Genomic DNA, 26,866 nt, shown 5'->3' with positions numbered 1-26,866 from the left:
CCCTCCTCCAGGAGAGAGGGCAGAGGCTCACCCCAGCCGGCCGTTTCCCTCAGTCCTTCAAGACGTGCTGACTGCACCCCAGGCCAGCCCTTCTTTGAATCCAGGCAAACATCCTCTGTCCCTTCCCTTGCGTCTCCCACTCCAGCTTTTGCTCTGTCACTTGGGAAACTTCAGCCTTCATTCCCATGAATTAAATAATATTTGTATATTTAGATATAACACATATAACATCATGTATTATCTATCTATGATTAGTCTAAGGGACACACACACTTCAAGGAAACAGGAAAATCCATTTTAAAGTGAAATTGGACTTAACACGGAGCTGATATGACTGGCCCCAAGCCCAAGAGAGGCCCCCCAGATCCCCACGGCTGCCAGTTCCTTCGTAAGTGAAGCCTGCATTCTGGAGGCAGCAGCCCTCAGGATAAAAACTCTGGCTGGCTCAGGCTGGCTGCTTCTGTCTCACTCACGCGGGAAGGGCCTGGGCTCTAAGGCAGAGGTCCCTGGGTTTGAATCCCAGCTCCTGACCTTTTGTCTGTGAGACCCTGGGGAACTGAAGTCTCTGTGCCTCAGTTTCCTCCTCTGAAACATGGGAACAAAACATGAGCATGTACTGCACAGAGCCGAGGTAGGGACACCACATGTGATTCGGTGATATTGCATGGTGTGGTGCCTGGCGCAGCATGATTCTGAGAGTTCCTGAGGATCTGGGGGCAGGGAGGGGAGGGGCGGGAAGGGGTGGGGAAGGGTGGGAAGGGGAGGGAAAGAGTGAGAAGGGGAGGGGAGAGGGAGGAGGAGAGGCAGGTCCTTCCTGTCCACCACAGCCATGTAGTCTTATTTCATTTTCAGCTCCTATAGAAGGTCCTTCAGTGGGAGCTGGGGCTTGCCAGGCTTCTGGGAGCTGGCATAGAATGCAGGGGCGGTGAGGACCCTGTTGCTGCAGAAAGACCCATGCCAGTTCCTGTACTGGTCCCTCACAGGTGGGTTTTGGGGACAGGGTTTGCCTGTAAAGTGGGGCACCTGCCGTGCTCTGATCACGTGGCCCACGGAGCTGGGTCCTGCAGTCACTCCCTGCCATGGCGCCTGGAAACCTACAGCCCAGGTACCCTCTGGGCATCAAGGAGATGCTCACCCGATGTCAAGGCCAGCACTGTCTACCTTCGGCTCATGGCGAGTCCTTCTGCACCAACATCAGCCACGCACCTGAGTGTGCCTGAGGATGCCAGGGTCCTCCCAGACATCAAAAGGCTGTGGAAGGACCAGGGTCCAAATTCTGTTTCAGACCACTCCTAAGGGAAACACCACAGAGAACAAAAGACCAATGCATCCTCAAAGCCGGTGTCCCTGGAGGAAGAGGCTGGACACAGGAAAGGACCCTGCAGGCGGGTTATTCACACAGCCACGCCGAGGATGTGGGGGAGAAACCCCTGTTGGACCCCACCACCTTGCACAGGCCTTGCCCCCTTGGAGATGAGCCAGGTAACAGCTAGGTATCCACCACACTCTCTGCATCCCCACACACAGGCGGCGAATCTTCCAGCTACAAAATGTACTGCCTCCCTGCAGCCCTGCACCCACACAGACCTACTTAAGCGCCTCCATACTGACGTTTTCTTAGGAGAAGCTGACAAACTTCTTAACAGCCACTACACATCCAAACGCAACACACTTGGAAGGGGAAGAAAACAGCAGCAACCCCCTGGCGCGGCAGAGAAGGTAATTAGCATTTATTACAGTGGCATCATCACAAGCCGTGGCTCAAGGATCTTACCTCCTGCATTTTCCCTGCCTCCGTGAAGCATCCCTGTTGACTTTGGCATCGCTTTCCTCTGGAACTTGAGTTCTGGATCCACAGCCCAATACCATTGTGAAAAACAAAATTGTCTGTCCCATTCCCAAACACACCAGGACCCTTTAAAGGGCAGAGCAATGGGGTAAAGGAAGCCACAAAAGTCAACGCTTGGATGTAAAGCAGAGGTGCCTTGTCATCGACCTTCTCATTCCCATCCTTGAGAGCAGGGGCTGCGAGGGAGACCCAGCCTCTGGGAAGAAGCAATTCGGGTCAAGCTCAAGGCAGCACCAGGGCTGCTGAAGCCCAAAGTGTACGTCTGCAGCCAGGCCCGTCTGGTCCCAACCAGGGCACTCTTTCCTGTCTGGCCTGGGAAGTGGCTTTTCACTCTTCACCAGCCTCACAAGTAATTCTGGCACCTGAAGATTTTCTTTCTGAATTTTAAGTAAGGCACGTACATACAGGTGCATACAAACAGCTTCTCTTGCTGTACCATAGAATCTAGGTAGCCCAGCTCATTAAAGTAGAATTATAGTCTCAATGCCTTCTCCAGAACCTTCTACAGTGCTCCCCAAGTGACAGGCCCAAGATAGTTCTCAATATTTTCCTGCACTTGTTTTAGGCAAGAAGCTCATTTTCCCTGGAACTCCCCATGCGTAACGGCGCCATAGTAACCATTCATGTCACTCCAGCAAGCAATGGGCCATGTAAAATCGGTGCCGAGACAGTGAGCGGCCAGCTAAAGAGAGGAGTGTTTTACCCAGAAAACCGGCCTTGTACTTTTCGAATGAGGCCCTCAATTCTGTAATGATAACACTGATGAAAATAATAAAAGTGTCATCAAGAAACATCAGCCGCGCCTAAACTGCAGGCATTCTAGAAAACAACTAGCCTGGGCTCTGCAGGAACAGCAGTGTTAGGCAAGACAAAGAAAGGCCCAGGAATCTTTCAGACTAAAGAGATGAAAGGGCGTGACAGCAAATGCAATGACTGCTCTGGGATGGCATCTTGATTAGCGGGAGGTCGCCGCCTCAAAAAAAAATTTGGGGGGCAGTTGGCAAAACTGGAATATCTAGATTAGATATGAATCTCGTATCATTGGTACATTTCCTGAATTTAGTAATTGCATTGTAGTTAAAGTATATCCCATTCTTAGGAAATACATGCTGAAGTATCTAGGGGCAACAGGTGTGATATCCATAACTAATTCTCAAATGATTCAGGGAAAATATTGTGTGTATTCTGAGATAGATGTGAGAGAGAGAAAGGGGAGACAGAGAGACTAGAGCAGACATTGTGTATAGAACCCATGGGAAATAACAGGTGATGAGTCAGTGAAGAAAATCAGAGACTTCTTTGTCTTATTCTTGCAACTCCTCTAAGTTTACAATTATCTCCAAATAAGAGTTAAAATGAGAATTACAAGAGATGAAAATCAGAGCTAGCATTAATTGAGCACTTACTATGTGCAGTGCAGTGTTCTGGAAACTCCACGCCTCTCATCTCAGTTAATCATCATGGCCACCCCAGAAGGCGAGCAATATGAGGCCCATTTTTCAGATGAGAAAACCAAGGTTCGGGGAAGGCCAGTTGCTCACCCACAGCAGGACAAGTGGCGCGGCCAGGATTTGAACCCCAGGGTCTCTGAGGCTCCAGAGAGCACAAACTGGCTTGCTGCCCCCATGACCCATGCAGTCCAGTGGTCCCTCAACTGGGTCACTGATTTCAGATTTCAGGTTTGGGCTTTCATCTGTTGAGTCTTGAGCGAGGACCTACTGTGTGCCAGGCACTGAAGATGCACCTTTGACTGAGCAGAAAAGTCACCTCTTCCACTCTCATTGGGGGAGAAAGCAGTGAAGAAAATCCACTCATGCAATGCAGGTGCGTGAGCTGCAGCCTCCCAGGAAGGAACATGGCTGCCAGGAGACCCAGTATCTTGGAGGGAAGAGCACAGCTCAAGCCTAAGGCTGGAAGTCAGGAGAGCCCCATTAAAAGGCGGTGTCTGAGCCAAAACCCAAAGGAGGCACAGGATGGAGCTGGGTGGGGAAGCATGTTCTGGGCAGAAGGAACAGCAAGTGCCAAGGCGCCAAGACTGGAGCATAGCAGGAAGGCGGGAAGACCAGGAAGAATGCATAAATTTGTTGTAGTATCCTCCAGACATCATCAAAAAGATCCACGTGTCTGGCTATATGCGCTAGTCAGTTCCCACGCTGCTAATACCTACCTGAGACTGGGTAATTTATAAAGGAAAGAGGTTTGACTCACAGTTCAGCATGGCTGGGGAGGCCTCAGGAAACTTACAATCATGGCAGAAGGGAAAGCAAACACATCCTTCTTCACATGGCGGCAGCAAGGAGAATGAGTGTGGAACGAAGGGAAAAAGCCCCTTATAAAACCATCAGATCTGGTGAGAACTTACTATCATGAGAAGAGCATGGGGAAATCACCCCCATAATTCAGTTACCTCTCACCGGCTCCCTCCCACCACATGTGGGGATTATGGGAACTAAAATTCAAGGTGAGATTTGGGTGGGGACACAGCTGAACCCTGTCACCGTATCTGCAACACTATATTCTCATGAGAAGGGTTCATCTGTTTTAAAGGGGACCCTGCCACGGCTGCCTCTAGACCTTTGCTTTTCTTTCCTTAGGTTTCCATAAAAAAGTAATTAACAATAAGCATTAATTCTGTTATTTTGATCTCCTCTATGACTACCTAAAATTTTTAAATATATTTTCTTTTCTTTTTATTAGAGATAGGGTTTCACTCTGTCATCCAGGCTGGAGTACAGTGGTGCAATCATAGCTCACTGTAGCCTTGAACTCCTGGGCTCAAGGGATCCTCCTTCCTCAGGCTCCCAAGCAGCTGAGACCACAGGTGTGTGTCACCACACCTGGCTAACTTTTTAACATACGGGGTTTTGCCGTGTTGCCCAGGCTGGTCTCGAACTTCTAGCCTCGAACAATCCTCCCGTTTTAGTCTCCCAGAGTGTTGGGATTCTGGCATGAGCCACCACACCTGGCCTATTTCTACATGCCTCCAGCTCATTTCCCCTCTGCCCTGCTCCTTCCAGGGGAGGACCCGGCATGGTCTGCAACAGTCTGTTGATGCTATGGCTAAATGTTTGTGCCCCCAAATTTCGAATTTTGTGTGTTGAAACCTAAGCCCCAAGGTGATGATGTCAGGAGGTGGGGCTTTTGGAAGGGGCCCAGGGTGGAGCCCTCCTGAATGGGGTTAATTACATTATAAAAGAGGCCCCAGAGAGATCCCTCTCCCCTTGCCATGCCAGGACACAATGAGCAGGCACCAGCTATGAATGAGGAAGCGGGACCTCACCCCACACTGAATCTGCTGGTTCTCTGACCTTGGACTCTGGCCTCCAGAACTGTGAAAAGTACATTTCTGTTATTTCTAAGCCACCCAGTCTGTCTGCAGTTGTAGCAGCCTAAATAGACTAAGGTAACTTCTGCCGTCCCCAGCTAGAAGAGCTTACAAAGGCCTTTCCTGGGGGGCTCGGAGACAGGTGCCCAGCTGCGTGCTGTCAGCTTTCGGAATTTTCTGTGCAATTTGAAACATGCTACTTTTAACAGATACACTAAACAGTGATTTTTGGATGGCAGCTTGGTGGGATGTAGGGTGACAGGTTGAGTCCCATGCTAACGGATATGGGCGTTTGGAACAGAGCTGCTCTCCACCTCACAGAGCTCCTCAGTGTCCACAAAGCTCCCCCTCCTCCCATCAGCTCCCCCGAGGCAGGCAAGCCCATCACCGCCGCTGGCAACAGCCGTGTGCTGAAGACACTGGGAGGAAGACACGCAGTCCATTCCCGCATTATCTGTGAGCCGCGTGCCATCGGCAGCCTCCCGCGCAAACCCAGAACTCCCCGAGGAGGCGCAGCCCGGAGAGTGACCGATAAGCGAGCTGTTGAGTGTCTCGGTGACCCTTTCTCCCGGTAGAATCGGCCCTGCTCAGTTCTTTGGGCTTCCAATCTTTCCGGCCTCTCAAGCAATGACTGGTAAATTAGAAAGTGATTTAGTGAAGTTTGGGTAAATATGTACCACTGCTAAAGTTTTATGGGCACCCCGTGGGCACTGACGGGTCCTCGGGGCCACCTTGTCCCGTCCTGCAGGATGTCAGAGCGCTGCAGACACAGAGACCTCCTCTCTCCCCATGTCCATGTGCGGGGCCTGTCAATCTCCATGGAAGGAGACACTTGAAGGAAATAGGGTTAATAAAAATGAGCGTTCTACGCTGGCAACCACTGAAAGTCTCCGGCTCGTGGTAAATAGGTGGATACTGACTCTGCCAGTTTGTAATTCATTTTTACTCCAACTCTTCATCCTTGGTAGAGAAGCTGAAAATGGTCCCTGAGAAAATAAGAATGTTTTCCAACCACTTTCAAAACCTTTGGAAGAACCAAAAGCAACGGAAAGGCGAGAAACACTTGGTCCAATCTGCTTTCCTTAAAAAGGCGGCTCATGGTCAGACATGGTGGGAAACAGCAGGACAGCGGAGGAGTCAGCCACATGGGCCCGGCAAGGGCAGGAAGCCCTGGGACCATGCAGGGGTGGAAGAAGTGGGTGAGTCTGTCGGGGACGAGAGCAGCCCAGTGATGCCCCAGCAGGAGACTCAGCCCGAGGCACCAGGGAAGCAGAGGACCAGCGACCCACCGGCTGTGGCACTGTGCACCCGAGAAAGGGCTGGGGCCACTGTCGGTGGCAGGCACTTGATGGGCAACGGGGACAAGACGAGGGTCCTCCCATCAGGTGGGAGGCAACAGTGTACATGGGGCTGGAGAACCCCATGAGGACAGAGGGGGTGGATGCAGACACCCTCACCCCAGGCAGCTGAGCAACCCCGGCAGCAACCTCATGACAGCGTCCAGGCAGGCATGTAGCCTCGGCTGGCTCCTGGCAGCAGCCCTCTGCAGGCAGATGCTGTTCCCTACGTGGAAGGAGGCTTCTCCTCTGCCAGGGTCTGCTGGAGCCTTTCCCTGCATTGTGTATCTTGGCACTGCCTTACTCTGTTCTCAGGGGTGAGCAATCATTTTGGGTAGGGGTCTGTGGCCCCAGCTGCAACTGCATGCAGACATTGGATCACCTGTTTGGGTAATTTATCTACCACCCATGGAGCTTAACCTCTGCATGGCATGGGACCTCATGGGCCTCAGGTGTGCAAGTGGGACACCTAGATGCCAGGGAAGAAATGCCTGAAACAGCCCCAAGGAGGTGGCTGAGCTCTTCCTCATAGCCTTTCTAGGGTTGTTACATGGTCTGATCAGGCCTCACAGAGAACAGCAACAACAATAGCAAGAGCACCGCCACCACCATCACCCCATCACCAAGAGGACCACCACCACCATCACCCCATCACCAAGAGGACCACTACCACCATCACCAAGAGCACCGCCACCACCAAGAGCACCGCCACCACCATCACCCCATCACCAAGAGGACCACCACCACCATCACCAAGAGCACCGCCACCACCACCACCACCACCTACCACCGAGAGCACCGCGACCACCACCAAGAGGACCACCACCACCACCACCCCATCACCAAGAGGACCACTACCAACACCAAGAGGACCAGCACCACCAAGAGCACCAGCACCACCAAGAGCACCACCAAGAGCACCACCACCACCACCACCACCACCAAGAGCACCACCAGTGGCAGCAAAGAAACAAATCCAGCAGCAGTGTGTTGGGTACCCGCTGTCTACCAGGTGGCTGCTTTCCTGTGATATTTTTTAATCCTCATGAAAACAAATGGTAACATGTTCACATTTCAGAGGCTCAGTACGAAAACCAAGTGGAGTGAATGCTGTGGATTTACAACTCCCTATGCTCCCGCATCTCCCCCGGGGACCTCGCCTGCTATGGGAAGGGCTGCTTGTTTGAATCCCTGAGGGAGGGCTATGTCCACTCTCAGACCCACCTTCTATTCCTTCCCGATCCCAGCTCGTGTCCACTGGAATTGCAGGGTGGGGTTATCTACATGTGTTACTCCGTTCTTGCATTACTATAAATAAATACCTGAGGCTGGGTAATTTATAAAGAAAGAGGTTTTATTTTGGCTTGTGGTTCTGCAGGCTGTACAGGATGCATGGTGCTGGCATCTGCTCCTGGTGGGGCCTCAGGAAGCTTCAATCATGGTGGAGGGTGAAGCGGAGCCAGGGCATCACATGGTGAGAGTGAGAGCACGAGGGAGGGGGAGGTGCCACAGTCTTTTAAACGACCAGCTCTCCCGTGAGCTCAGAGCGAGAACTCACTCAGCACCGAGGGGAAGGCGCTAAACCATTCATGAGGGATCTACCCCCAAGATCCAATCCCCTCCACCAGGCCTGCCTCCAACACTGGGGATCACATCTCAGCATGAGATTAGGAAGCGACAAACATCCCACCCAGATCACACACAAAGCCACACACACTGTGCTTAATGGCCAGAGTGGGGTGAACAGTGCCCCCTCCCAAATTCACGTCCACCAGGAACCTCAGATATGAACTCATTGTGAATAAAGGTCTTTGCAGATGTAACTCAGAGTCTTAGGATGAGGTTGTCCTGGATTTAGGGTAGGCCCTAAACCCAACCACTGATGTCCTTATAAGAGAAAGGAGAGGGAGACTGAGAGAAACACAAACGCTGTCCTCACAGGAGACTGAGGGCAGTGACGACAGAGAGGAGGTGCATTGAGGGACGGACAGAGAAGTGAATGAGGGAAGGAGAGGGCAGAATTAGTCTCATTTCTGGGTAGGTTGAGAGGCCAATGGAAGAAAGCAGAGTTTTGCCGCCAAGAAGGCAGGTTGTAATCCAGGCCCCACTACTGCACGCATCACCTGTTAATACAACAGGTGCAGAACCTGCCTGGGTTTCAGCTTCATATCTACCAAGCAGTCAGAATATAACGCACCCTATGCCCATTACGGGGCGAAAGGACACAGCTCCACAGAGCCACACAGAGGGGGCTCAGCAAAGGTGAGCTGTCCCTGTGTTCCCAATGAGGGGTGCCAGGCACTTCAGCTGGAAGGGAGCTGCATTTGCAGGCATGTGGAGCAGGGTGGCCTAGCGAGGACCCATGGAGAATCTGCTGCCTGGCAGAGTGACCTGGCCCCAGTTGCTGGACTCCACGGGTAGTGGAAGGAACTATTTCATGGAATGCTGGTGAGGGGGCAGCCCCTGGAGCAGCAGCTACCACCCTGCACACCCCTGCTGAGTGTGAATGTGTCGGCCCAAAAGAAAGAGAACAATTAGGACCAATGTTTTCTAAAGGCTGACACCAAGCACCTGGAGCAAGTGAGGGAGAAGGAGGGAGACATTGGGGCTGGATTCCTGGGCCGGCCAGCTCTCCACACCCTTGGCACTCTGCACCTACAAGGGTCCTTCTTCCCAAGGCGTTTCAAGGAGCAGAAACGGAAGCTGATTGCTAACATGGTGAGTGCCTGCTTTGTGAAAACGGCTACTTTCACATTGCTTTCCTGGAGCCGGCAAGGGGACTCCAGAGCTAAGAGCAGAGCTGCCGCTGGGCAGTGCCAAGCCTGGGCTCCCCGTGGGCCCTTGTGTAGAATTCACAGGTCAAGAGAGGTTGTTCCGGACTCTGGAGCTAAGAGCAGAGCTGCCGCTGGGCAGTGCTGAGCCTGGGCTCCCCACGGACCCTCGTGTAGACTTCACAGGTCAGGAGAGGTTGCTCCGGGAGCCGCTGGACAAGACTGTGAGCACAGTGCAGGGCCACTGGTGCCCCTGGACCCAGCCGTGCTCCTGGGAGGGCTTCAGTCAGCATCCCTGGGCTGAGATCCCAGGGGGTCCTGTTGCTGCTTCAGGAGCCGTGAAGACTCAGGGACTGGGGTCCCGGACAGGACAGTGCTCTTCCATCCGATGACAGTGTGCATCTGGCAATGTGTGATAACTCACTGAACCACGATTTACATATAAAGAGAGCCGATTTAACTTTTTAAATTAAAGCTTAAAAGCCCTTAATTAAAATAATAAATCAGAGAACCATTCCCATGGCAAGGTGGGAGCAGCTGGAACAGACTCCTGTATTGCTCTGTTCAACCACAGGTGGTCTGAACAGTGGCATTCCATGGGGACTCTCCCTGCTCTGCAGGCCTGGCAGCCGGGCTGAAGCAGGCCGTTCTGTGCTCAGATCCTGCAGGGACGCACCAAGTCTGGGGTGTACAAGGTGGGTTCGGACCAATCCCCCCAGTTTCCCAGGCAATGACTGTCCTGAAGATGAAAGAAGCGACAAACCACCTCTGCACACGGAGGCCCCTCTCTCTCTCCGGGAGTCCTGGGGTCCACCTCTCCACACGAAGGTCCCCCTCTCTCTCCGGGAGCCCTGGGGTCCACCTCTCCACACGGAGGTCCCTCTCTCTCTCCGGGAGCCCTGGGGTCCACCTCTCCACACAGAGGTCCCTCTCTCTCTCCGGGAGCCCTGGGGTCCACCTCTCCACACGGAGGTCCCTCTCTCTCCGGGAGCCCTGGGGTCCACCTCTCCACACGAAGGTCCCTCTCTCTCTCTGGGAGCCCTGGGGTCCACCTCTCCACAGGGAGGTCCCTCTCTCTCTCCGGGAGCCCTGGGGTCCACCTCTCCACACGGAGGTCCCTCTCTCCGGGAGCCCTGGGGTCCACCTCTCCACACGGAGGCCCCTCTCTCTCTCCGGGAGCCCTGGGGTCCACCTCTCCACACGAAGGCCCCTCTCTCTCTCCGGGAGCCCTGGGGTCCACCTCTCCACACGAAGGTCCCTCTCTCTCTCTGGGAGCCCTGGGGTCAGGATTTCCAGACACAGCATTACTGCCATCATATGGTCACTGCCCAGAAACATGGCGCATGCAGCCACTGGGGCCCAGAGAAGGGCCAGCTCTTCAGCACAGGAAAGGAGCTATAAACCTTTGTGGGTTGTTTTTCTCTTCTTGTCCATGTTCCTAAAGCAGGGGTCAGAAATGTTTTCTGTAAAGGGCGAGATAGTAAACATGCTCATTTTGTGGCTAAATTAGCCCCTTGCAACTCTGCCTTCATAGCACAAAAGCAGGATAGGATGCCAACAAACAGGCATGGCTGAGTTCCAATAAAACTTTATTTGTAAAAACAGGCAGCAGGCCAGATTGGGCTCACGGGCCACAGTCTACCTTTACTGGAACCCACTGGGACAAAGGCAGAAACCCACCTGCCATTGTGTTTTCTACCAGATTCTCCTAAAGCATCATTCCTTTTCTAAGTACATTGGACACACGCAGGCCACTTGGAGGAGACGGGAAGAGGGACGGCCCAGGGCCTCCAGCCCTGGCTTGGCCTGCACCCGCCATGTGGCTGGGAGCAATCACCCACTGCTCGTGCTCTAGCATTTCACATTTCATCTGCAAAACGGGGATGACGCCTGTGCTTCCCCTTAAGGCTGTGGTGAAAACACAGGGCCAAGCCCTGTGGCACATCTGGCAGGCCCTCTGGCTCAGTTCCCATCCTACAGGAGTGGGTTGTGTGGTCACCAGATGCAGAGGACATGAACAGAGGTGATACTGGATTCCCCATATTTACCACAATGGCGAAAAGAGATAATTCTGAATTCCTGAGTCTGTGCACCCAGGTCTTGGGGGTGGTGGGGTGGGGACAGCTATGTGGAAAGCATGGTGACAGGATGATTCCTGGAGTGCTCGGGCACCTCAGAGGCTTTGCCTGTGGGTGGGGACCTGGGCCCGGGGCATAATCAATGGCCTGATCACCAAGATCACAAAACTGCATCCCCTGCCTGGTCATCTGCTCATCTGGGTATAAACGGCTGGTCACAGCGGTGACCCCGGCCCGTCCCTCTCATCCGGGTTGGGGAGAGTAAGAGGTTGGCTGGTTCCATGTCCGCTGGCTGGGGGATCCAGTATGGAGGTCCAGAGCTCCCGCTGCGAAGGCCAGGACTATCCCCGGATGGACAGACTGAGGGCCCCCAGGCTGAGACCCGGGCTCCTTCTGGGGCACTGCCTTCATGGCGAGGTGGTCACCAGGACCTGGGGATGGCTCACGTTCCTGGAAGCTAAGCCCTGCTGGGCAGCATTCCAAGGCCTCTGTGGACTCAGGCACTCAGCCCTCGCCAGGGCCCCGCGGGTGGGGCTGCTGTGACCTTTGTCTTCCACATGAAGGCGCTGGAGTGCAGGGCGGGGTAAGTAACCCGCTAGGGAACCTTGGCCAAGGACTTGGCCCAGGGCCGTCTGAGCTGTGGCTCCTAAAAACGTGGCTTTGGCATCTGGAAGCATCTTCAGGATAACTTCCCCCACAACTGTGACACACACCCATAAAGTTTCAAATAAGCTTAAATCAATGCAAAACTCCTCAAACAATGGTTGCGAGTCACATGCCCAGAAGAATATTTGCTAGGTTTGGCTCTAGGATCTTCATAGTTTGAGGTTTTACATGTAGACATCAGGCAATAAACAAACCTGCACATGTACCCCCTGAAACTAAAATAGCAATTTAAAAAGTCACGTGCTCTTTAAATCTGCTACCCGGGCCTTGATAAAAGTGGGGAGCACCCGCAGGTGGGGGGATTCACTGTCTGGGATGCTGATGACATTGGTTCCCAGGGTCTGCCACAGGGGGTCTTCCTTTGTCTCCGCCGACCAGATAAGCAGAGCAAACAAGCGACTCCGAAGTTCGAGTGGCAGGGTCGATCTCCTCTATGCACTCGTTGCTGGGAACTTGGGCTACCTAATGCCTGATGGCAGAATAAGTTGGATGTCGATGGACAGAGGGTCCATGGTTGAGACGTGGTGCTCTGAGGTTGGCAGTGCATGCAGCCGAGGGCCTCCACTCTTCCGAGGAAGGCCAGGTCAGCTGGTGCACACCGCACTGGCAAGCAAGAAGCCCCGGGAAGCCAGCGGCATGGCCAGCTGGGACATGCAGGGAGAAAGGAGAATCCGGCTGGGTGCAGTGGCTCACACCTATAATCCCAGCACTTTGGGAGGCGGAGGTGGGTGGGTCACTTGAGGTCAGGAGTTTAAGATCAGCTTGGTCAACATGGTGAGACCCTGTCTCTACTAAAAATACAAAAATTAATCAGGTGAAGCAGCACACGCCTGTAGTCCCAGCTACTCGGGAGGCTGAGGCAGGAGAATCTCTTGAACCTGGGAGGCTGCAGTGAGCCGAGATCACACCATTGCACTCCAGCCTGGGCCACACACAGAGTGAGACTCTGTGTCAAAAAAAAAAAAAAAAAAAGAAAAAAAAATTAAAAAGAAAGGAGACTCTAACTGGGTGATCTTTAACTGCTGGATCAGACCAGTGAAACCGCCTTCCTCCCGACAGCGCGCCGTCTCTTGCAGGTGGCTCCCGGAGGTCCTCCCCTTCGGTCCAGCCCCAGTGATGGCCATCAGCATTCCAACGAGCAGCAATACTTTTTAAAAATTTTTTTCTTCTTTTTGAGATGGAGTCTCACTCTGTCACCCAGGCTGGAGTGCAGTGGCACAATCTTGGCTTACTGCAACCTCCGTTTCCCAGGCTCAGGCAATTCTCCTGCCTCAGCCTCCTGAGTAGCTGAGATTAGAAGCATAAGCCACCACACCCAGCTAATTTTTTGTATTTTTAGTAGAGATGGGATTTCACCACGTTGGCCTGGCTGGTCTCAAACTCCTGACCTCATGCTCCGCCCACCTCAGCCTCCCAAAGTGTTGGGATTACAGGTGTGAGCCACTGCGCCCGGCCCAGCAGTGCTTTTGTTTCCCTGTCAGGTTTCTTTCAGGTCTGCCTAACAGGAAGAAAATAATTTAGTCTTTAAAGCCACTTAGCACAGCTGGTGATTCATCAGTGAGGGATCGCAAGGCTGGGGCCAGCTGGCAGGCAGCAAAGCCATCCAGCGGCCCCACGGTGCTCGCCACGGGGACCACGGCATGCTGGCCACTCCGGAGGTGAGACCTTCTCAGGAGGCTGCTGTGTGTGTTGCAGGGACATTTTGGTAAATGCAGGCAATGACTTCTTGTTACTACAATGAGTATTGACATGTGTTGAGGGTAGTGGGCAAAGACGGGACGCACGGGATGCTATTCGCAGCTCTCCTGGGACCATTTTCTTGTGCTCTTGTGATGGAGCCTGCAGCGTTTCTCAAAACATGATCACTACCACGACCTTCATTCTTTTGCCTGATACGCATTTCCTGAGCATCTCCTGCACTGCGTGAGGCAGTACTGGTGAGATGGGGGCAGGTCCAGAGGCCGCAGGCCAGTGTGGGCTCTAGGGATGGCCAGGTAGCCCCAGAGAGCTACAAAATCCTCTTCTATCCCCTTTGCATTAGAAATAAGATAAAGGATTTACAAAGTTACCTACACTTTTGCCGCTGAAAAGAATTTCTCCATGGGTACTGATGGCATCAAGCATGAGTAAGGGGGATGGAAATGGGACTTGGGGGGCAGGTGCCACTAACATGAGGATTTTGAAAGGATGGTCCTAGATTTGGGACCAACTCTGCCCAGGGACAGGGTTCTTGGTGTGAATTCTTGAGTATTCTCTATCTTGAACATAGATAAGAACAGTGTAATCTTAGACCAAAAACCACCCAGCAGCTAAATGGGGTGAAAGACATACCCCTTCATTATTACCCAATAATCACAGTTTGTCCAAGTCTGATATGATCACATTAATAAAAAATTTGTTCAGAATTTAATGAAAGTGAGTCAGCCTAAAATGAGTCCACCAAAACTCGAGCTTGAAAACATAACTGTTCTCATTCCAACTGGCAATTTCAGCACAAACCCCAACCTACTACAAGAACCATTTTATTGTCACAGCTTGAAATTTGTTTTGAATTACCTTGATAATAATACAGCCATTCATTCAGCGACGGTGCACCACACAGCTAATGGATCTCAGAGGCCTAATTCCTAAAATCCAGCGCCGCGTCATTATCGTATAACTAGAATTAGTGATGCTCCACCAGCACAGAATGGCCCGAGTTTGTCTTTGAGTGATTAAAATGCAGGTGGCTGCACGTTCACGCCCTTAACGAGCCTTCTCAAGAGGCGCTCCGTGGTTCCCTCTCCCGCCGAAATCGAAGCATATCCCAAAAGTGTGGCCATTCCACTAACACAAAGATGCGATTTGGAGCAAGAATGTAAAAGAGCGGCATTTTCACTCATGAGTTTTATCTCTTCTCATTCCTCTAAGCTATCCAAATAACAGCTATCACAAGAAGAAACTCAATTAATCTATACCAGAAGTCTGCAGTGAGCAGACCAAGGTCCTGGAGGGCATAAAATTTACTTCCCACTCGACGGCAACCATGGAATGGAATTGGCTTTTGCATGATCTTGTGTGGTCTTAGTGAAAGTCACACAGACCTAAGAGTCCCTTGGATCAGCCAACGGTCGGCAAACTCTGGCTCTCAGCTGCAGGGGACCTGCCGCTGGGTTGTGCGAATATTCCTGCAGGAGGGCAGCCTCTTCCATTGCTTGGGTGTTGCCAACAGCTGCTTTTGTGCTACAATGGCAGTGTGTTGTCATTGGGACACAGGCTGCATGGTGATGATGCCTAAAATACGTACTCCTTGGCCCTTTAGAGAAAGATCCTGTCTTCGATCACAGAACGTGTCCACTCCAGCATCAATCCCGACCTTTTTAGTATTAGCTTATGGCTTGCAGGATGCCCACTCACCCATGAACCCAACACCCACACACCCAAGAGGAAGGCTAAAACTGAAAAGCATTCTCTCCAACTCATCAAGGGATGACCTCACATTTGGAAAGCCCCAGAGAGAAGCTTTTCTTTCGATTAAATTGAAAATCCATCTCCAGTGACATTTCTATTCATCAGGCCCCAAACTGAGGCGGGGATCAGCCCTGGTGTGAGGATGGCGGCGCCTCACGTGTTCTCGGTGTTGTTGCCCCGGAGTTGTGGTCGGAGGACGGGCCGACCACAGCTCCCTTTCACCCTCCTTGTCTGACAGCAGCTGTGCAGAGGACAGCCACTGGCCACCTGCCTCAAGGCAGAGCACCAAGGTGGGGGGCACCAAGACTGGGGGACCTCCACTGGGGGCACTGGAGAAGCACGCGGGCTTACACGGGTGGCCTCTAGAAAGCATGATTTTGATGCATAAGTTGCAGACTGCATGTCGTCAGGTGGGACGCTATGAAAACGGGAATTTTGGACCACAGAGTCTTCGCCGTGTGATGGCCAAGAGGCCCCCTTGTTCCATTTGTTCTCAATTGTGGCACAGTTAAGAAAACACTCAAGCTTCTGTTTGGACTTTCATTGTTTCTCTTAAAAGATCCTTCTGCTGTTTAACAAAAGTCTGTGTGCAGAACACCCAGATATACCAGTGGTGATTATAACACAGTTCCTCTGCCTGGAGGACTGTGTCATCCCCGTCTCCACCCCTGCCCCCCGGAGCCTCTCTCTCCATGATTTCTTTCTTCTGAATCATAAAAGGCCTGAGAGATTCTCCACTATGTTCTGAATTCTGGTGACACATACAGTGGGAATTCACAAGAGGACAAAGCCTGCATTTGCCCAGATCATCCTGGCCCTGGGTGGATAGATTTTCTAGAACAGATCCAAGCTTTGAAAACACCAATGCACAAATGCACATTCTTGTTGCTGAAGTTCAAGGCATCCCTGGCAAACTTCTGTGGTCACGGCTGCTCTGACCGAGAAAGGCAGGAGAACATCTGTGTCTCCCACATGGGGGGTACACCAAGGCGAGCCCACCATGGGGTGCACCGGAGCAGAGAGAGGGCGGCTTCGTGCTCAGAGCCACAGGGCGGTACATACACAATGTGCTGTCTTTCTTTAATACCATTTTTAATGTAGAATCAATCTTTATGGGCTGTCCCCATAGGGAAGACATAATGGAATCACATTGTCACACGACTAGAAACCGTGTGAATCCTGCCAGAAACGGGATTGTATCATGTTTCCTGGAGCAATACTGATGACTCCTTAAAGGTAGGTATGAATTGTTTCTAAAAATGAACATTATGTGTGATTTAAATAAACTTAATATGATAAAGGAATGTGCTCTGCTACTCTAATGAGCCCATAACTCACCACATGGGTCCAATTCATTCCAAATGGAATCGCTATTTATGTGGAGTTGTCGAATAAAGGGTGTGATTTTGTGATTCATCACATCAAATCCGTTTTAGTCTCTGTGCAAATGGCTGCAGAGGTGAACATAACCAGAAAGACAGAAAGGGACTGCTTCTCCCCCAGGTGTGGGGCATGATCGTCATGGCAAATGGACCGGGCTGGAGAGTGAGGGAGGCACTGGGAGGATGAGACCCTGTCCTCAGAGGGTCCTGCTCCAGGTAGCAGGACAGTCCTGCACATCCTGCGAAAGGTTACCCTGGTGGGTCCCACCCAGTTACCTGCACCACACTTAGCTGTGAGGTGAGAAAGCAAGGCTGATGCCAGCAGGCCCCACTGCCCTTACTGCTTCACTCCGCATCCTCGCCAAAATTAAAGATAAATACATCTTCACTCTTAAAATGACCTCTGCACACACTCATAGAAACCACTCACAAGGAGGCTGCCTGGTTCTCAGAAACAAGCAAATGAAGCAGCAGCTACAACTTGTATTGTAAGGGCAACCCCATGCATGTGCCCTGTATACACGCCTATGTTCACATACACACACACACACATACGGCTCATACTGGAAGAGCACTCCCATGGGCAGACATCATATACAGATACACTCACATATGCTCATACATGCACACAGGTGTGCACACACATGGGCAATACTGGGAGGGCACCTTCACATATATTTGCCATGTAAACACACTTGCACACCTAAATACATGCACAAGAATGCATGCACACACGAGCACACATGTACATGTCTGCACACATACATGTAAAACGTGAGCTTACTCAGACACACAAACATGCGAACTCACGCATACATGCACAGATGCGAACATACTCTCACACGCATGTGCATACATGTGCACGTGTGAAAACATGTTCACACCATGCACATATGCACATATATGTTCATGCATGTACATGTACATGTGTGTACACACAGGAACACCCACACAACAGATCCACAGTGTTTCTCCTGCTCTGCCGGCTGACCCACCCACTGCAGGCTCAGCACTGGTTGCGGCTCCCAGGCAGCCGCTTTGAGAGTCTGTGGGTGACCTGTTGTCAGCCTGGCTGGGTTTCTGCAACAAATCCCAGTTCCATGGCTGGGGCCCTTTCCAGACTGCTGAGCCCCACGGGGAAAGGCTCCTTATGGCTCTCCCAGCACTCACTGCACTCTGATGTACATGTGACTTTGAACAATTAACTTTAAGAGAAAATAGGGCTTGGACTCTTGGGTCCTGGTCAGTGGCGACATAATGTTTCAAGGGCAGCCCTGTGGCTCTGGGTCTTTGCCCACCAGAGCCTGTGCCTCCTCTACTGCCCCCTGCCTCAACCACATCACAGAAGCAATTTAGCTTCATCAGCTGAGAGTCCGATTCACCTACGGGAGCTGGGAGTCCAAGGGCAATGTGAACCAGAAGGAAATGGAAATCAGGGCTCTGACCCTAACAAAATCACCTAAGAACAACAGAAAGAAATGGACCTAGTGCTGTGCAAATATATCATAGCTCTGTCTTCAAATGAAACCCTCTACAGAAGATTTCTGAAACAGAAGGTAGAGCCAGGCCAGGCTGTCCTGGCCAATGGGGTGGGGGAGAACCTGCCCCTGCCCTGGGGAGTCCTGCTCTGAACCGTGGGTGCTCCTCAGAGCAGATGGAAATCACTGACCAGCTCCTAGGACAGGGACCTGGCCCCTGCAGGCACAGCTTACCACAATGCTGTAAATTATTAGTTGCATCTGAGGCTCACCTTGAAGCTCACAGTTCTGGAGTCATGACTCATTTTGGAGGGAACTTGCCTCCCGGCTGTCCATATTTGATGCACATATCTACCAAGCGAGGTCCAGCAGCAACACAGCTTTGGGAACCTCATGGGACAGGGGATAGGGAGATAGAATTGGAAGAAGTTACAGTTCCCTCTAGAATAATTAAAATGGAAAAGATAGATACTCTCAAGTGCTGGTGAGACTGTGGAGCAACTGAGATGCTCATGCAATGATGGTGGGATGATATCTGTGCTGCCATTTGGAAATCTACCACACTACATCTATAAAGCAGGGTGCAGGCATTCCCTATGACCCAACAATCGGACCTGCAAGACAGATGCATACACATGCTCATCAAGGACATGCACAAGGATGTTCACACGTCTTTATCTGCAATAGCCCCAAATGGAAACACCTCAAAGGCTGGTTTTTAATCTTTGTGAAATTAAGATACACTTCGCATACTGTAAATCCACGCATTTAGGTGGATAATTCAATGTATGTTAGTAGAGTCACAAGGTTGCACGACCATCTTCACTTTTAACCCAGTACATTTTCATTGCCCCCAAAAGAAACCCTGCACCCATTAGTGTCTCTGTCCATTTTCCCCTTCTCCTTATTCTCTGGAAACCAATAAAATACTTTCTGTTTCTGCAGATTTGCCTATTCTGGGGATTTAGAATGAATGGAATCATACAGTACATGGGTTTGTGTCTGTCTTCATTCACTTGGCATAATGTTTCCAATGCTTATCTATGTTGTAGCTTGCATACGGACTTCATTCCTTTATATGGCTGAATATTCCACTGTCTGGATGCCACCTTTGGTTATCTACTTTTCAGGTGATGGACATTTGAGTTGTTTCCACTGTTTGACTACTATGAATGGTACTGCTATAAACATCCATGTACAAATTATTGTGTGGACACACTATTTTGGGCAGATCCCTAGGAGTCACATTTCTGGGTCATATGCTAATGCTAACTCTATTTTTAACTTTTTGAGGAGGTGACAAGTTTTTTTTTTTTCTTTACAGTGGCTGCACCATTTTACATTCCCACCAGTAATGCATGAGGGTTCCAATGTCTCCACATCCTTGCCAACACTTGTTATTGTCTTTTTAATTACAGCCATCCTAGTGGGTGTGTAATCTCACTCTTTTGTTTTTGTTTTTTTCTTTCATTTTTTGTTTTTGAGATGGAGTCTCACTCTGTCACACAGGCTGGAGTACCGTGGCATGATCTTGGCTCACTGCAACCTCCACCTCCCATGTTCATGTGATTCTCCTGCCTCAGCCTCCTGAGTAGTTGGGATTACAGGTATGTCCTACCACGCCCAGATAATTTTTGTGTTTTTAGTAGAGATGGGGTTTCACTATGTTGGCCAGGCTGGTCTCGAACTCCTGACCTCAGGTGATCCGCCCACCTCGGACTCCCAGAGTGCTGGGATTACAGGTGTTGAGCCACTGTGCTTGGCCTCTCACTGTTGTTTTGATTTGCATTTTCCTACTTACTAATGACGTTACACAGATTTTATGTGTTTATTGGACATTCGTATGTCTTCTTTGGAAAAAATATTCAAAACTTTTGCTCATTTGAAATTGAGTTATTTGTGTTTTTTATTAAGTTGTAAGAGTTCTTTATATATTCTTGATACTAGACTCTTATATATACAATTAACAAATATTTTCTGTCATGCTATGGCCTTTTCACTTTTTTGATGGTATCCTTTAAAACACAGACATTTTTAATTGTGAGGAAGTCCACTGTTTATTTATTTTTTGCTTGCCTGCACTTTAGGAGTCATATCTAAGAAATCACTGCCTAATCCAGGGTCACAAAGACTTACACCTATGTTTTCTTCTTAGAGTTTTATAGTTTTAGATCTTACATTTTGGTGTTTGATCCATTTTGAGTTAACTTTTGTATATGGTGTGAGGTAGGGGTCCAATTTCGTTCTTTGCATGTAGCTGTCCAGCTGTCCCAGCACAATTTGTTGAAAAGGCTGTCTTTTCCCCATTGAATGGTTTTGGCACCTTTGTCAAAAAATCAACTGGCCATAGAAGTATGGGTTCACTTCTAGACTCTTAATTCACTTCTATTGGTCTATATGTCTATCCTTATGTGAGTACCATGCTGTCTTGATCACACTAGCTTTCTAGTAAATTTTGGAATCAGAGTCTAGAAGATTCTTCACAGTAGTGTGTTTTCATCTGCAACAGGACACTATTGTGCAGATGGGAATGAATGGACCACACTCCCACCAGCTGGATGAATCTCACAAGCATAAGGTTAGGTGGGGGAAGTCACGTGGTTCCCTGCATAGGAAGTTCCCCAATGGCAAAGGTTCTCTGAGCTGTGAGAGGCCAGGAGAGTGGCTGCCCCTGGGATGGGAAGAGGGCAATTGAATGAGAGAGATGAGGGGCTTTGGATGCTGGGGAGGTTCTGTTCCTTTATCTGCGTGCTGATTACACATTGAACTCATTTTATGAAAATCCAGTGAGCAGTACACCAGTGATTTGTGAAATTTTCTGTATGACTTTATACTCCAGTAAAATTTACCAGATAAAAGAACAAGACCAAGTTGATGTGACCAAGGCGGAGACAAGACAGTGAGGACAAGGCATCGCTTACACATCCGGCACATCATCCAGCTGTTATATATGCTGTGGACTGAAACGCACAAAATAATAACTACATATTTATTAGCTACTGATTATTGAGTGCCCATGACATGCCATGTGCAAATCTAAGTGCTTCATAGACATTCTTTCATTACACCTTTATCGATCCCGAGGAGAAGGGAATGCCCGTTACCTGCATTTTGTATTTGAGGAAACTGAATTTAAAGATTAAATGGTTTGTCCTAAATCACAAGACTAGTGGGTGGCAGAGCTGGGATTTCAACCAACTGTCTGACTGACCAACTGCAGAATTCACTCTTCCCACTCTCCCCATCAGCTGCAAGAGGAGATTCTGTCTGCGCACTGGCCTGTGCGCATCTGGCCAAGTGTCTGCCTCCTGTCCAGTGATTCCGCTCCTGCTCAGCCCTGCCTGCCCCTGGGTACTGCAGGCTCTGGGAGCATTGCTGTTCCATCTTCCACCAGGAGGCCAGGTCCTAATCCAGAAGGCAACACAAGAGCACAGACACCACCATGTGGCTCTCTGCACTGCAAGGAGCCCAAAGAAGAGGAGGGCTCCGGTGCAGGTTGTGGCATCCAAGAAGGGCCTTGGGTGGGTGTGGGAGGAAGGTCTAGGGGTCCTGCAGGATATGAACTATCAGGGAGGAGGACAGAGGTCATCCCCGTGAGAAGGATGAACACAAGGGCAGGGTCCCGCAGATATACTGGAGGGGTGGGTAGATGGGGTGGGACCAGTTACAGGGAGCCCTGGAAGCTGGCAGAGGGAAGAGATTTCCTGTGGTGCCAAGCGGAGAGTCAGGAAGGCTTCCCAATGGCCTGAGAGGGGAAGCAAAGGAGGCAGTGGCTGAGAGCAGCCAGGGAGGCAAGCTAGGAAAGCCAGAGAAGTTGGGGCAGGGAGGCCAGGGAAGCAGGCTAGGGAGGCCAGGGAAGCAGGCTAGGGAGGCCAGTGAGGTTGGGGCAGGGAGGCCAGGGAGGTAGGCTAGGGAGGCCAGGGAGGCAAGCTAGGAAAGCCAGAGAAGTTGGGGCAGGGAGGCCAGGGAAACAGGCTAGGGAGGCCAGGGAAGCAGGCTAGGGAGGCCAGTGAGGTTGGGGCAGGGAGGCCATGGAGGTAGGCTAGGGAGGCCAGTGAGGCAACCTAAGGAAGCCAGAGAAGCTGGGGCAGGGAGGCCAGGGAAGCAGGCTAGGGAGGCCAGGGAGGTTGGGGCAGGGAGGCCAGGGAGGCCAGGACAAGGAGGCCAGGGCTGCAGTGAGTCCCGGGGAGGATGGGTGCCAGTGGGGAGGAAGGTCTTCTCCAAGGAGTGGCCAGGACTCCAGGACCAGCTGGCACCTTCACTGAGGGGGGTGGCAGCTGACCACAAGCACAGGAAGCGCCCATTCTGCAAAGCAAACCTGTTGCCCCAGCCCTGGGCTATTCCTCAGTCCTGGCATCCTCTTTGTGATTTGGGGAATGTTTCCCATGCGCTAAGCGCTCATGTATCTGGACTCTGAGAACCATGAAGGCAGCACCTCTGTCTAATGCTGCAATCTCGGCATCTCTGACACTGCCTGGCCCCCAGCGGTGCACATAACATCCCGGAGGCTTCGCTGTTTAGTCTCCCAGCACGTGCTTGACGTCCTTTCCCGAAATGGATGAGGGATAAAGAGGCTGCGAGCCCTCATGGACACACATCCACGGAACACACGAGGAGCATCTGGACTGAAAACTTTGTACACAAAGCAAGCAAACCATGGCCAGAGCTCTCCCTTAGCATCCTGCCCCCTAAACCTCCCTTTGAAGCCTTCTAGTAATTTTTAAAAAGACGCTCCCAGTTTAGCACTGTTGCTTTGTATGTGGATCTTGAACAGACACCAGCAGGATGGTGTGGGTCTGAAGAGCCTTTGTAGGCTCCAGGCTGTTCCTCATCAGGTGTTTGGGATGATGAGAGGGGTGACATGGGAGGGAGTGAGGTACCCCGTTCCTTACCCATGTTTATGCCCATAAAACTCCAACCACTTTAACCAGCGACTGTCACTGCGTATTTCACGCCAATTGCTATTGGTTCAACCTTGGGGTCAGAAGGACTGTTTCTCAAGACTGCAGGAAAAGGACTTCTCACTGTAACATCAAGAAGCAGGGAATGACATTGCTGTTCATCTTCTGAGATGAGACACGTTTGCAAAGTGGAGATGTGGCAAGACACAGAATGACACTGCTTAGATAACATCTGCCTGCCCCCGTGGAGCCCCATTCCCTCCGTCCCAAAGGCGGCTTCCACCCGCCTCTCCCCCCGAGACCCGAAGGCATTTGTAGTTTTATATAACAAGATACATGACTTGCACTCTCTGAAGGCATCAGCTCTGTAATCTTCCTAATTCAATTCCCTGAACGAGCCATCTTTTCTCACTAGTTTTTGATGATAATGTTCCAATCACCTGCCAATTCTTCTAATATTCCTATCCTTCCTGTCTCCAACTCCTCATTTGTGACATTTCTTTTTAGAAGAATAATGGTCACGGTGTACCTGTTAACTGTTCTTTAAAACCTTCCAAGGTTGTGCTGCACCATCAGACACTCCTAATTTCTCACTCTTCTCTTTGAATTACTTAAAAATGGGTGCTTTTAGAGGCAATTTAGTTGCTACACCCTGATAATTTAAGTTTGTATAAACATGCTTTAATTTTTTAATGACATTTTAAGCCACTAAAATGCAACAAATCTGAATAAAATCTTGCCCCAAGAATTCTGCTTGATAGTTCCATATTAAATTTTAAAATATTCGAGGGCTGTAATGGGGGGGCGGGGAACTGATCTCAACATCTGAAACAAACACACTGCTGCTCTCCTTCTCCTCTTTGTACTCTGTTTACCTTCTCTTCTCAGGGTGACCCTGGCTCCTTACTTCCAAGTCAGAAGGTGGACAAGTTGGGCCCTTTTCCCTCCTTCCACCTGCCTGCCCGAGCCTCAGCCTGGAGCCCTCTCAGCTCCCCTCTGGCCCAGTTCTGAATTGCTTGGAGTCTTAGAGTGAAACCACCCGTCTGCTCGGAACTGTACAGGTTTTTGGGTATTTCTCCCCTTACGTACCCATGCACAGAAACCTCTTATATTGTTTTCTAACTTTAAAGGGGCCCTGGGGACTGGGCCTGACTGGACCTCCAGCCCCACTCTCCAGCATGGGACACTGGGGTAGGGCTGGGCTCAGACACAGACTAGGAGCCCTGCCCTGAGGGTTTGATGCTGCCGCAAAGAGCCAGGAGGAATCACAGGAAGCAAAGGCCTCCCCCTCCCCTCAAGGCCAAGGGCATGTGTTACTTTGTTTTTATTTATTTCACGCTGTTATCTAAAGCTTACTCTATGCCAGCAGACTGTTTGACATAGATGTGCGAACACGGATACAGTCGCTCTGCCAGCCCCACGCGGTGCCGCTTTACACATATGTGCGTGTATGTGCAGGCATGCACACATGTCCATGCATGGGAAACGATTTCAGATGCTCAAGTGAACACCTAAGTGGCAACAGGGCCATTCCCAGAAAGGCAGCCTCAGGTGGGAAAAGGCTGCTCCTGCGCTGTCTGCAGGGGCAGGAGCTCGGGAACATTCTGACTTCAAAGGTTCCTTGTGTCATCATTGGCCAAGGAGTGTGAAAGCATTGAGGCCAGGCTTGTATTTGGCAGTATCCCCCCACCCCCACCCCCACCCCAGGGTCAACAGTGGCAGGAGACTCACTACGGAGAATCACAGGCCAGAGCAGAAAGTACTCTGGGCTGGGCACGGTGGCTCATGCCTGTAATCCCAGCACTTTGGGAGGCTGAGGTGGGTGGATCACAAGGTCAGGAGATCGAGACCATCCTGGCTAATGTAGTGAAACCCCGTCTCTACTAAAAATACAAAAAAAATTAGCCGGGCGCAGTGGCAGGTGCCTGTAGTCCCAGCTACTCGGGAGGCTGAGGCAGGAGAATGGTGTGAACCCGGGAGGTGGAGCTTGCAGTGAGCCGAGATCCAGCCACTGCACTCCAGCCTGGGAGACAGAGTGAGACTCCGTCTCAGGGGGCAAAAAAAAAAAAAAAAAAAAAAAAAGAGCTCTGGGGCTGAGTATGTGAGAGACTGAATCCAGTAAAAGCTACTTGCACTTGGGGGTCTTGGGGAGTTTGATGGACTCAGTGATGGAGTACATGGCCCACTATGGTAAGTGAGGACACCATCAACGTGGAAAGGATATAGAAGGGAGGGAGGCAGCGATCTGTCAGTTTCCTAAGTCACCTTTACCCAGCAGCATCCTAAGAGGCACCGCCCATCACTGCTGTCTGCTTTCTGAGCCACCACCTGTCCTGGAGCGTGGGCACGGAGACGGAAGAAGAGATGCCTGCCTCCAAAACTACCTGCCTGTCTCCCGTGCAGCCCCCCAGCCAATCAGTGGCTCACTAAAGGATTATCCCGTGGCACCGCGTCGGCGCCCAGCCAGCCAACCCGTTCCTGCCTACACTCCCAATCAGATTCCTATCCTGAAAGGAAAGTTGCCCTGGGTCCTCCTGGTGAATTTCTCTTCTGTGTTTCAACCTTTCAGACCTAGGCCAGCTTCATCACATTCAGAGCTGGATCTCCAGGCAGCATGTAAACCACACACAAGCCCTGTTCTCTCATTTCATATCTGCTTGTCTATTGTAGCAGAGAGGGAAACACACACCCCCCTCCCTGCCCTGATTTCTGGGCACAAAACTGCCTGAGAAACATTAAGGACTTCAGAGGAGTTGAGTTAAGGAAGTGCTTGAGGCGAGGCCTTTACAAAATGTTGCGAGTCACTGGATCCTAGAAGCACTGAGTCCCTAGAATGTCACTAACACAAAGTGTGGGCATCTAACGCACACACACACACGCACATGCATGTGTGCACACATACCTCACCCCTACACCCACATGCATACCACACACACGCATATACACACCTCACACACACACCTCTGCACACATGCATACTCATGCACACTCGAGCGCACACACCACACACATGTGAACACATACTGTATCCCACATACCCCCACACACATGCACACACCCTCCACACACACGCACGAATGTGAATACCGTATCCCACATACCCCCACACACAGGCACACACCCTCACGAATGTGAACAAATACCGTATCCCACATACCCCCACACACATGCACACACACCCCTCCACACACACACGTGTGAACAAACCCCCTCCACACATGCACAGACAGCCCTCCACACACACACGAACACACACCGTATCCCACATACCCCCTCCACACATGCACAGACACCCCTCCACACACACACACACACACACGAACACACACCGTATCCCACATACCCCCTCCACACATGCACACACACCCCTCCACACACACACATACGAACACATACCGTATCCCACATACCCTCTACACACATGCACACATACCCCTCCACACACACACATACACACATGTGAACACGCACCGTATCCCACATACCCCCCAAACACATGCACACACACCCCACCCCCACACACTCACATACACAAGCACACTGTCTCGGTGTGCAGGACAAAGCTGCCTCCTGCCCGCTGGCGCCAAGCATGAGCGGCACCAGTTGCCAAAGCCTCCGGTTCTCTTGAC

At 51.1% G+C, this 26,866-nt stretch overlaps 1 protein-coding gene across 4 annotated transcripts in view, besides 3 other annotated features; it reads right to left on the bottom strand.

Moving 5' to 3' along the window:
- The window catches only part of CDH4 (cadherin 4), a 688,357-nt gene that overhangs the window by 368,100 nt on the left and 293,391 nt on the right, over nt 1-26,866 (bottom strand). The gene's annotated exons all lie outside the window — the stretch shown is intronic.
- Nucleotides 8,677-9,577: an enhancer, noted in NCBI's record as "H3K4me1 hESC enhancer chr20:60137997-60138897 (GRCh37/hg19 assembly coordinates)". NCBI's record gives its function as "activates a minimal SCP1, AML or CMV promoter by ChIP-STARR-seq in naive H9 embryonic stem cells {active_cell/tissue: H9 hESC(naive)}" and the evidence as "EXISTENCE:reporter gene assay evidence [ECO:0000049][PMID:30033119]".
- Nucleotides 15,218-15,717: an enhancer, noted in NCBI's record as "H3K4me1 hESC enhancer chr20:60131857-60132356 (GRCh37/hg19 assembly coordinates)". NCBI's record gives its function as "activates a minimal SCP1, AML or CMV promoter by ChIP-STARR-seq in naive H9 embryonic stem cells {active_cell/tissue: H9 hESC(naive)}" and the evidence as "EXISTENCE:reporter gene assay evidence [ECO:0000049][PMID:30033119]".
- Nucleotides 15,718-16,219: an enhancer, noted in NCBI's record as "H3K4me1 hESC enhancer chr20:60131355-60131856 (GRCh37/hg19 assembly coordinates)". NCBI's record gives its function as "activates a minimal SCP1, AML or CMV promoter by ChIP-STARR-seq in naive H9 embryonic stem cells {active_cell/tissue: H9 hESC(naive)}" and the evidence as "EXISTENCE:reporter gene assay evidence [ECO:0000049][PMID:30033119]".

The sequence above is a fragment of the Homo sapiens genome, chromosome 20 (genome assembly GCF_000001405.40).
Source record: "Homo sapiens chromosome 20, GRCh38.p14 Primary Assembly".
Classification (NCBI taxonomy): Eukaryota; Metazoa; Chordata; class Mammalia; order Primates; family Hominidae; genus Homo; species Homo sapiens.
The sequence above is the reverse complement of the archived record's forward strand: the minus strand, read 5'-3'. Positions and strand labels throughout refer to the sequence as shown.